Below are 12,909 nucleotides of genomic sequence, written 5' to 3' on the forward strand. Positions count from 1 at the left end.
TTTAGTTCCATTCCTACATTAAAGATGAAAAAGATTTTGAGTTAAATATGACCTTTGAAACTGTGCTAACCCTGGCTATTTTGTATTTATACTAGAAAAACCAACCTAAGAAGATATGTTTAGGAAGTTGAGATAATTGTATTCTTTTTCATCTCAGCTCTGCCTAATATGATCAAATTTATCTTTTCAAGACCCATTTATTTTATGTAATCTAAATTAGTTCTTCCAAAGTACTAAGTTACTAATTTGAAATAGATGAACAGGATTTTGATTGAAGGCTTAGAAAAATTTACATATCATACATTCTTTATTCCTATAGCTCAAACAGTCTTACTCATTTTATGTATCAATATCATAATATAGTTAGAAAGAGAAATAGTCTCACAAAATCTAGCACTGGCATCAAAACAAAACATTTTTTAAAAGTCAATTTTCAGTAAATACTTATATACCATCCTAATAGTTGGAGGCTTCTTGAACTAGTCAGACTACTGTCAAAACCTTTAAATTAGCAAAGGATTCTCACCAGCTTTTCCTGTGTTCACTAAAGTCAAGACTCTAACATATCTGATGATCAAATGATCAGGACTATCCTCTGATAAATAGAAAATGTGATAGAAGCTTTTACAAAACATAGTGTATTTTATATGAGAACTGTTGCTGAAATCACAAAGTTACTTTAACTACCCCAGTGGTGGTGAGTTTCCGCTGGGTGTGAAAATTAACTACGTTTTTAAAGTGATGAAACTTCTGAGCTTATGATGACTTCTCTTTCAAAAGTATATCCTCCAAATTCTGAGGCTTATGTAGCCTTACTTCCTCAGTCTTTTAATCATCTTTCTGTCCCACAATTCTCTTATTTACTCTTTTTCTACTGTAGAAACAGCAGGTCCATATTTCTGACTGTGCAGGAATTGGAGGCCCACACCAAGCAGTGTGACATACTTGAATGACAAAATAATGGAGTGATCCCAGGGACTCAGGAGTCATGGCAGAGGAATTTATTGCTTAGCAACCCAGACAAATGTCAAGAGTCTTACCAAATGCAGATGGTGAGTAGGACTGTTGAAAATCAAAATTGCTTTGCTATAATTCTTTTAAATTGGTTTCAACAAAAATATTAATTAATTCACCCATTTATTTGTTTGATTGATTGACATAACAGCTTTCTGGCCAATCACTAAGTGGCAATTACAGTCAGCTGGTCACACTAAAGGGACATAGAAATATAAAACTCAGGAGAAATATAAAACTTCTACTGGAGAATAATCATCTGCTATTCTGAATTGACATTCAGATGCATTTCTATCATCATTTTTTTTCTCAGAGAGGAAAGTGACACATGATGGCATAGTTTTGAAAGTAAAATAAAAATAATGATATAAAACTAAAAAAACTAGATTAATGAACTGCATATATCTAGTCCAGGCACCATATTTAAAATTTTGGCTTTGGGGCCTTTATTTGAAGGAAATGTGAGTAACTGATCATGTTCTCATTAGCACTAGGTAGAGTTTCACGAGCACTTGAATTAATTTCAAATATGCTGTAAGGAGCCAAATAGAAACTATACAGTATGTATTTAAATTGGAAGAAGTACTCAGCTTATGTCATAATAAAAATCACTCCTGCTACCATAAGGAGTTACTACCATGATGACATATTTATCAGTTTCTACACAGTAAGTACCTACCATAAAAACTAAAAAGAAGAGTTTATTGTTGGTGTTTTTAATATAATACCTGAAAATGAAATAATATGAAGGTGATATCCCTTTTCTAATCATAAATACGGGTATGTTGTTCCTAGCTAGCACGATACCAACATTCAAAAAATATTAGAAAACTTTTTGAGTAGTCATTCATATGGTCCAGACTAGCAATAAAGGGAGACATTTTATCCCATAAACTAGCTTGATCCCAACTAACCAGACCATTCAATTTACCAACATGATTTTAAAACAAAAATTATACACAGTATATTTAGAGAAAGAAACAAATGAAAATAAAATAAGACCAGGTTTTTAGAATTTTTTCTTCTTTTTAATTCCGTTGTCTAATTTAATCAAATTTTTAATTTCTTCTTGAGTCAGTTTCAGTAATTTGGATGTCTTTCTAGGAATGTATTCATTTCATCTAGTTTATCTACTTGGCTGATATACAATTGTTCCAGTATTCCTTAATCTTTCTTACTTCAATGAGGTCATTGTAACATTTCTTCTCTCATTCTTGACTTCGCTTTTTTTCTCTCTCTCTTTTTCTGCCTCCCTCTGTCTCTCGCTTTTTCTTGGTCATTCTACCTAAAGGTTTGTCAATTTTATTGATCTCTTTAAATAACTGGATTTTGATTTTGTTGGCTTTCTATATTGTTCTATTATTTATTTCCTGTATTCCTACTGTAGTCTTCAATTTTTAATATTTGCTTTGTTTCAGGGTTAATTTTCTCTTATTTTTAGTGTTTGAAGGTGGAAATTTAAGTTGTTGAATTGACATCTTTATTTTCATTGGACTACTCATAGCTACAAATTTCCTTAGCACTTTTTTCTGCTTTCCATAAGCCTTAGTATGTTGTGTTTTTATTTACAGCAAAGTGTTTTAAAATTTCCCTGTGATTTCTTCTTTGCTGTACTGATTATTTAGGAGTGTGTCATTTAATTTCCACATATATGTGAATTTCTCATACTTCCTTCATCATTGAGTTCTAATTTTATTCCACTGTGGTCAGAGAACATACTTTGTGTTATTTTCATCCTTTGACATTTACTTAGACTTGTCTTACAGACTAAATATGGTCTATCATGGACAGCATTTTATGGACTTGAAAAGAATGTGTATTCTTCTGTTGGATGGAACCTTCTATTAGATAACTATTAAATGTAGTTAGTTTACAGTGTTGTTCAAGTCTCCTATTTCTGTCTAGTTACTTTATATAATATCAAAAGTGAGGTATTGAAGTCTCCAACTATTATTGTTGAATTGTTCATTTCCCCTTTAGCTCTGTCAGTTTTGCTTCCTATATTTTGGACTTTGATACTAGGTGCAAGACATAATTATTATATCTTCTCAATGCCATCTCAGGCAGTCAAAATATGTAACAGTTTTCTCTGATTGTTTTTGACAGATGCTCTGTGGAAGAGACCTGCTTCAAGTCAGGTCAAGTAAAAACAACCTTGCCAGCAAGATCCATCAGTGAGGTAACATAGTGATAATTAGGAATGGGTATCTGGAGGAACTCTAACTCCATTGTACCCTGCTAACAGCTGCCAAATTGCTGTTTCCACTGTGATTGTGGGCTGTTTGCTTTTAAGACTCCCATAGAACTGGGCAATAGGGTATGGAAATAAGAAAAGTTAAACTGCTATAAAGCTTACTCTTCTTACTTAGATTCAGCTGTTTTTACAGATTTTGGCAAGGCTTTGGTTAACTTCCAGAGTTCTAAAAAAGATTCTGAAAATTTTTGCCACTCTTATCACTTTTATGTGGGAAGAATATTTGGAGGTCCTTTCCATTTTTACTGACATAATCTTTTTATTGAGTTTAGTATATTTTGCAATGTTTTAATGCATGGCCTCAAATTACACAAACTTCAGCCCACTTTATTGCTGGATCTATTCTGATCTATAGCTGAACACTAAGAACAATAATGATTTTTCACAACAGCTAATATTATTGAGTTTTTTGTATGTAACATGCATACGGGTAAATTGTCTATATGCAATGGTTCTTTTAAAACAGCAGTCTAATAGGTTAAAGTATTCCTCAGTCTCTCTTTTTACAAATATAGAAACAAATACCTAGGTAGCTTCTCCATCACCACAGAGTTAATGGTAGCCAGGAACTAAACCCAAGAAAGCCTTTACTCTCATGTGCATATTCTTATGCATGCACTCTAAAAACTAAAATTTGAAGCTGCGTAATAATGTCAATAAAGATTTGGCTTCTCTATATAGGATGCTTCATCAAAGAGTCACATAAAGGTGGAGGAAATATTTACTTTTAATTTAGAAGTTGGTTTGGATAGCTACTCTCAGAAATATCTATTTTGAAAGATTTCTAGGAATACCTTTAAGAAAACAATGTCTCGGCAGGACAGTTAGAACAATGGGTTAGGGCATTCCTGGTTACTAAGACAGTGTGTAACATCACTTTGTCTATGAATGCAACAGTATTTGGAAGTAGCTACAAAAGAAGGAAAATATAACCCCCATTTTGTAGGTTGCTAATTGTTTGCTTTTAGATTTTTAATTTGATTCTTTACTGTTGTTAAATGTTTTGGCTTTAAAATTAGGGTGAGCCCATATACACCATGGAATACTATGCAGCCACAAAAAGGATGAGTTCATGTCCTTTGCAGGGACATAGATGAAGCTGGAAAACATCATTCTCAGCAAACTAACACAGGAACAGAAAACCAAACACCACATGTTCTCACTCATAAGTGGGAGTTGAACAATGAGAGCACATGGACACAGGGAGGGAAACATCATACACTGGGGCCTATCGTGGGGTGGATAGCATTAGGAGAAATACCTAATGTAGATGACAAGTTGATGGGTGCAGGAACCCACCATGGCACGTGCATACCTATGTAACAAACCTACACGTTCTACACATGTATCCCAGAACTTAAAGTATAATAGTAATAAAAAAAATTAGAGTGAGCCTTATTTCTTATTTTCCACTTTCCTATTATTTTATGTACTTGAAACCTCCTATTCCCCTTCTGTTGCCATTTTGAACATCCATTTAAATTATGAAATATTTATAAATTATGAGATATTGATATACTTTTGGTCTAAATTAAAGATGTCAGAAGACTTTCATCATTAATTCTACAAAATTCTGATGTGAATTTCATCTCAACTTAGCCCTTAGAGTCTCAGTTAAATAAATATTAACTGATATTATTTCAATTTGACTTCATAAGTAATTTTAATCATTTCATGTAAGTATCTTCAGAATTCTATTTTGATTTTTTAATGACTTTCCATATGATTCCTTTGAGTAGAAAGCTCTTTTAACTATTGCTTATCCAAATTACCCAACCTTTAAATTTCAGTATAAAAGTTGATTCTCCTATGATACATTCCTGACTTTCCACCTTCTGTACATCACTGGACTTTGTTTGCCCCTTTGTAACTGCATTTATCACACTGGTTTATAATTGTTTATTTACCTGTCATATGTCAAACCAGACAAAAATTTCTTTGAGAGAAAGGGCTGAGCTCCATTCAACACATATATACAGGATCTGATGAATATGAAAAGCATCATAAATATTTTAGAATTAATAAAAGTAAAATTAATTTAAAAACTCATTAATTTGAAATAACAGGGTTGTTGGCTAGTCTGACTCTGTGAAAATTCTGAATTATATAAGATTTTATAAAACAGCAACTATATTTAAGGAAATAGTTTCTGTTACTTTCAAACATGGAATATATCATAAGATAAAAGGCTAATTCACCAGTGATATCTGGTCAAATTAATTTCCAATAAGTTACAGTTCATATACTTTAAAAACTACCAGGTCATTAATGCAATAGTTTTTTTTTATATACAAAAAAAAGGTCATTGATTCCTAATGGTAGATACACAAAATAGGACCTTAATTTCCAAGTCAGGCAACCTACAGAATGGGAGAAAATTTTTGCAATCTACTCATCTGACAAAGGGCTAATATCCAGAATCTACAATGAACTCAAACAAATTTACAGGGAAAAAACAAACAACCCCATCAAAAAGTGGGCGAAAGATAGGAACAGACACTTCTCAAAAGAAGACATTTATGCAGCCAAAAGACACATGAAAAAATGCTCATCATCACTGGCCATCAGAGAAGTGCAAATCAAAACCACAATGAGATACCATCTCGCACCAGTTAGAATGGCAATCATTAAAAAGTCAGGAAACAACAGGTGCTGGAGAGGATATGGAGAAATAGGAACACTTTTACACTGTTGGTGGGACTGTAAACTAGTTCAACCATTGTGGAAGTCAGTATGGCGATTCCTCAGGGATCTAGAACTAAAAATACCATTTGACCCAGCCATCCCATTACTGGGTATATACCCAAAGGATTATAAAACATGCTGCTATAAAGACACATGCACATGTATGTTTATTGCAGCACTATTCACAATAGCAAAGACTTGGAACCAACCCAAATGTCCAATAATGATAGACTGGATTAAGAAAATGTGGCACATATACACCATGGAATACTACACAGCCATAAAAAATGATGAGTTCATGTCCTTTGTAGGGACATGGATGAAGCTGGAAACCATCATTCTCAGCAAACTATCGCAAGAACAAAAAGCCAAACACCACATGTTGTCACTCATAGGTGGGAATTGAACAATGAGAACACATGGACACAGGAAGGGGAACATCACACACCGGGGCCTGTTGTGGGGTGGGGGGAGGGGGGAGGGTTAACATTAGGAGATATATCTAATGTAAATGCCAAGTTAATGGGTGCAGCACCCCAACATGGCACATGTATACATATGTAACAAACCTGCATGTTGTGCACATGTACCCTAAAACTTAAAGTATAATAAAAAAAATTGTTTTAAAAGTTTGCAAAAAATATGGCAAAGGATTTATATACTTAATATAGAAAGAATTTTTATAAACAAAAATAAGTGTAATGGCAAATATAAGCTAATGATAAAAATAGGCAATTCATATAAAATATATACATAAAAATTTTAACCAACTAGTAATTACAGATAGGCAAATTTTTAAAAATAAGACTTTTTGCCAATCAAATTGACAAAGTGTACTTTGTTTTCTAAATAATACTCCACACTGGGGAATGTGGTGTGAGAAGAGAGTCCTTATCATTGCTAGTGGGAGTATCAATTATTACATTTCTGGAAAACAAACAAACAAAAAAAAGAAGCTATTCATTTTAATTGCATTCTAAAGCCATAATAGTAAGGAAGCAATTATTAAATATTTTTATTCAAGATATGTTATTAATTTTTGCAAAAAAGAACAGAAATATCTCAACAGAAATTTTTCATATAAAAGGAATTTTATTACAGTTACTTTCCATTATTCCATATGGCCTCATGTACTCTGTATGCTGTGTATTTATAAAATGAGAGAAAAGCAAAAGGTTAGTTGTAAACACATTTGACTCCATAAATGATTTTTTACATTTTTTTGGTGTCAGCTGCAATTGTGTTTGAAGTGTCTATTTTAAAATCAGTTCCAGTATGGGATTAAAGAAAAAAAACAAAGTAATGTGTGAAATAATTTATTTCTATTACTAATTTGAGGCTTGTCAGGTCACTGGCAAAGTTGCCCAAGCATTTGAAGAGCTTTAACCTAACAAGTAAAATTACATTGTTCTGAAATAAACTGTCATCTGATATGATGTTAACTTGCACCTTTGGGGTGTCTGGATATTGCTATTCAGGTCACTGAGAGAAGAGGAAACATACACAAAGCTGCATGAAAAAGATAATTCACCTTATGTAAGTGAATATTTTATAGATTTTGTAGATAAAATAGATTTTTCATCTTTTCACTAAATAATAGTTACTATATCTTCCTTACATATTTTTTCAGTAGCGTGGTTCTCAGCCCATGAAAAAATACATGGTATTATCTCATTCTATTTATAGAATATAAATATATTCTATAAATATATTTTGAACATATTTATAGTATATGTTCAAAATAACCCATCAGAATACCTCTGGGCATATGTAAAAAGGAAAAACTCAAAATCACTTATGAAAAGGGAGAAAAAGCTTAGATATTTTTTCTTTCTTGGGAATAGTGGAAGCTTAATTAATATATTTTTGAAATTATGTAACATCATATACCATCCAATCTGGTTTTCTTAGTACCTAGTGTGCTAAGGGAATTTAGGATATTTTTGTACTATGTATTTGTCTTCTGTCCATATTTATTACATTCTTATAGCATTTATATTTTAACTTAAAATTATAGTTTTTATATTTTTACACATGCACATAAGCTGTTGCAATAGGCATATTTTAATGAGTGCAATGAATAAATAAAATGTGATTTTTACTTCTGCTGCCTCTACTGATCTTATTTTCTGCAATCACAACTGTTTTTTATTACTAATATTAATAATAATAATTGCTTTTTCCTTCCCTCCAAAAATGCAATAATAATGTGAGTGCTGTATCACATTTTTAAAAATCCAGAAACATAGTTGAAATAAGTAAGCAGTTTACATATAATTTTGATGAACATTTCCTCAAAGTCTAAAAGCTCTTTGGAAATAATGATGAGCTATGTGTCATTTAGAAACAGTCATTGTCAATTTTTCTATATCCTCCAGAATCTTTGAATATAAACTGAATCCTTTTCTTGTTCTTTGTTATGAAGGCATAGATTTTATCTACACACAAAAGGAATAGGGCAATAGCACACTATATTTGTAACTTATTGCACATTATTAAACTCTGCTCAAATCCCGCCTTTTTCATATGATCTTTCCATTTAACATGTCATTATTAATTTATATAACTTTCGTAATAGTTTAACCTGTATATGCCTCTCTCTCTCTCTCTGTATATATACACACATGTATATAATATATTTATAATTTCTGTAGTTTTCATTAGAACTTAGGACTAAGGGCATGAGGAGTCTTTCACATTTCTAATATTGATGTCATTCTTAACATAGCCCCTATGAATTTGTCTTATTAATGTATTTATGAATTCTTAATATAGAAAAATAGCTTCTTTCCAGATTCCTTTCCAACATTTTTAAGACTTCATTTATTTGCTTTTGTTCATCTTTGCCTCACCTAGCAGGCAGAGACAATACCTAATGCAGAAGGTCCCTAATTTATGATGGTTTAACTTACTACTTTTAGACTTTACAATGGTGCAGAAACAACACATATTTAATAGAAACCGTACCTCAACTACCCATATGACCCTTTTGTTTTTCACTTTCAGTACAGTATTTAATAAATTTTGTGAGTTACTCAACACTTGATTATAAAATAGGCTTTGTGTTAGATGATTTTGCCCAATTGTAGACTAATGTATGTGTTCTAAACATGTTTAAGGTAGGCTAGGCTAAACAATGACGTTTGGTAGATTAGGTGTGTTAAACAGATTTTCAACTTATGAAATTTTTAATTTACAATGGGTTTATCTGAATGTAACTCCCATTATAAGTTGAGGAGGTACAATTATGAAATGCTAACCCTACCTGGGGGCTGCTTAACATGAGCTCTCTGCATGGAGATATTTATCTACTCAGTAGGGGAGTTTCCATAAGCAGAGCAGCTTCACTTCTGTAAATGAGGAATTCTGCCATTTGGGTGGACGGGAGCAATGAGCAGTGAAAAAATGAAAATGGTTGGTGGCAAACATTGGATGCCACTGGTAAAGAAGCCCTGAGATAAATACTTAATTTCCTTCCGCTGGACAACAGCTAGACAATGGCCTGTAAAGAAGGGAGAAATTGTGACAACTGATTCTCTCCAGTGTCAGTCAAAATTTTGCAGTCACTCTCAAAACCATGAGTGTGCAAAATAATATTTATCAGCTTCATATTCTAAACCATATAAAATAAATTAACTCTCTCCTCCCTTATAATGTAAATGCTTCTGCAATGTAAACAGCAGTTTACATATCATATGAATAAAAAATAATCTTAGTAAAGCTCCACAGCACAATATTTAATACAGATGGTTCCCAAGTTACAATGATTTAACACAATTTTTAGACCCCATCCTAATTTTTTAATGTTAGCTGTTCTCTTCTCTTAATTTCCAGTTTTTAAAATGTTAATTATTCATCAACATTTGTGAATCCTATAATCTAATATGTGTATAGAAAGAAACACAAAATTGGAGAGAATTGATTTATGGCAAAGACCAGAGAAGGTCTCAGAGGCCAGCCATAGGTACAGCAAATAGCAGCTTTGAGGCTTCACATTGCAAAAGTTTGTTGCAAGTCAATACATAAAGTGTCTACGCACAGACACACAGAACATTGGCATTCAAACATCTACTCCTAGACAAGATGAGATCTGAGGTGTATTTTCTGAACTATTTAAACTGAAGATGGTCCTAGTAAAAATGTGGCCTCGGGCTGATTATAGGAATTAATTGATGGTGTCAAAAGACAAAACTAAAATAAATTTAGTTTAAAAATCGAATTGTCTTTTATTAGCAATTCTAAAATCAGTCAACTTCTCATTCTATGAAATAGAATGGGTTTTCCACTGGACATTATAGAATGGTTGGTTTTTTTAAGGAAACCTCAATTTTTTAAAGTGGGGTTGGTTAACAGGTCACTGTTGGTCACTTTCTTTGTAAGGGTTAAAATGGAGCTGGTTTTCTTATTATGCTGACTTAAGTAGAATAAGTTCTTTCTGATTGTTTGGTGTCAACGTCCTGCTTTCAGGAAAAACTGAAAGGTCTGTTTTGGGACCTCCTTCCACTTAGCATTAGTGACTCCACTTTGGTTTGCTCTGGTCTGCTGGGACCAAGTGCAGGAGGCTAGTCCAAAACAATGACTTCCCATAAACTGTCTTTCATAATAGCCAATAAGATGGTCAAATGCTCAGACTTCCTTGGCCATCTCACAAGTGGAATTCTAGTAGCCAGTCATTAGCACTTAGCCAGAGCTCAAACATATCTCTGTTGGAGAAATTCAATAGGAACAGGGAAAAGATCTCCATACATCTGCTTCTGCCTACCCAAATGGAAACTTACTTGTCACAAGCATCATTTGGGTACCTGATCTCTTTTTTAGTGTCTCACATCTAAATTTAAGAAAGACAAAGAATTACCTCTATTTGAAGAGAGCTTTTAACTCAAGAAATAGCCTAAATTAATAAAAGAACCAATGAAAGTAATGGAGGGCAACAAAAGAAAACTCTTGTTAGTATCTTCAGAGGGGGATGATGAGGAAGACATTCCATCCACAAAATAAGAACAAGTTGCTATGTGTATTAGCCTTCTATTGCTGTGTAATAAATTACCTCAAACTTGTGGCTTAGTACAACATACATTTGTTATCCCACAATATTTCTGCTCGGGTCTCACAGCACTGCAGTCAGGTGTGGTCTTCTGAGTAATAGGAATGAAATAAAAATAGTTCTTTCTGATTATCAGCCTTCTGTTATTATTTGATTTATTATAATAATGTGCTTGTGGTTTTAAATTTTAAACTTGTTAACCATATAGAAGCATCTCCTACTATAGCTGTTTTGGGGACATAATTGAATATAATTCAGATATAGGCATACATTGGTGATACTGTATGTTCAGCTCCAGACCACCACAATAAGGCAAGTATTGAAACAAAGCAACTCACACATTTTTTAGCTTCCTAGTGCATATAAAAGTTATGTTTACACTACACTGTAGTCTATTAAGTATGCAATAACATTATATCTAAAAAGCAATGCATTTACCTTAATTAAAAATTATCTTATTACTAAAAAATGCTAATAATCATCTGAGCCTTCAGAGAGTTGTAATCTTTTTGCTGGTGAAGGGTCTTGTCTTGATGTTGATGGCTGCTGACTGATCAGAATGGTCGTTGCTGAAGGCTGTAGTGGCTGCGGAAATTTTTAAAAAGAAGACAAGATGAAGTTTTCAGTATCAACTGTCTCTTCCTTTAATAAAAGATTTATCTATAGAATGTGATGTTCTTTGATAGCATTTTACCCACAGCAGAACTTCTTTCAAAAATCAAGTCAATCCTGTCACTGCTTTATCAACTAAGTTTATGTAATATTCTGCATCTTTTGTTGTAATTTCTAAAATGTTCACAGCATATTTACCAGAAGTAGATTCCATCTCAACAAACAACTTTCTTTGCCCATTTATTAAAAAAGATCCTCACAAAAATCCTCATGCATTTACGTTTATCATGAAAAAGTTTGCAGCAATTCAGTCACATCTTCAGTCTCTACTTCTAATTCTAGTTATCTTGCTATTTCCACCATATCTGCAGTGACTTCTTCCCCCTTGAACCCCGAAATTCATCCATGAGGGTTGGAATCAACTTCTTCCAAACTCCTGTTACTGTTCACATTTTGACCTTCTCCAATGAATTAAAAATGTATTTAATAGCATCTAGAATGGTGAATTCTTTCTAGGAGATTTTCAATTGACTTCGCCCACATCCATCAGAGGAATCACTATCTGTGGCAGCTATAGTCTTACATAATGTATTTTGTATGTAATAAAACTAGAATATCAAAATTGCCCCTTGACCCATGAGCTACAGAATGGATGTTGTGTTAAAAGGCATAGAAAAAAAACATTAATTTCCTTGTACATTTCTACCACAGCTCTTGGGTGACCAGGTACATTGTCAATGAAAAGTAATATTTTGAAAGAAATCTTTTCTTCTGAGCAGCAGGTCTCAACAGTGGGCTTAAAATATCCAGTAACTCATGCTGTAAACAAATGCACTGTCATCCAGGTTGTTGTTCCATTGTTAGAGGAACACAGGCAGAAGAAATGTAGCATAATTCTTAAGGGTCCTAGAATTTTCAGGATGGTAAATTAAAACTGTCTTCAGTTAAAATCACCAATGGCATTAGTCCCTAACAATAGAGTAAACCTGTCCTCGAAAACTTTGAAGCCAGGCATTGACTTCTCTCTAGCTAGATGGCATCTTCTTTCAATAGAAGGTTTTTTCAAAAAAATCTACCGTGAATATCTGTTGTTTAATGTAGTCATCTTCATCCATTATCTTAGCTAGATCTTCAGATAACTTGCTGCAGTTTCTCCATGTGCACTTGCTGCTTCACCTTGCTATTTTATCTTATAAAGACAGCTTCTTTTCTTAAACTTCATGAACCAACCCCTGCTAGCTCCAAACTTTGTCTGCAACTTCCTCACCTCTCTCAGCCTTCATAGAATTGAAAATAGCTA

At 33.0% G+C, this 12,909-nt stretch overlaps 1 protein-coding gene across 1 annotated transcript in view; it reads left to right on the forward strand.

Moving 5' to 3' along the window:
* The first annotated feature begins 965 nt into the window (after positions 1-965).
* LOC105377864 (uncharacterized) overlaps positions 966-12,909 on the forward strand; it is an 82,536-nt gene continuing 70,592 nt past the window's right edge. Inside the window, exons 1-3 of the mRNA XM_047419660.1 lie at positions 966-1,052; positions 3,121-3,193; positions 7,432-7,489. The gene's annotated coding sequence lies outside the window, so the exon portion shown is untranslated. The remainder of the gene's footprint in view (positions 1,053-3,120; positions 3,194-7,431; positions 7,490-12,909) is intronic.

This window comes from Homo sapiens, chromosome 6 (assembly GCF_000001405.40).
Source record: "Homo sapiens chromosome 6, GRCh38.p14 Primary Assembly".
Taxonomy (NCBI): Eukaryota; Metazoa; Chordata; class Mammalia; order Primates; family Hominidae; genus Homo; species Homo sapiens.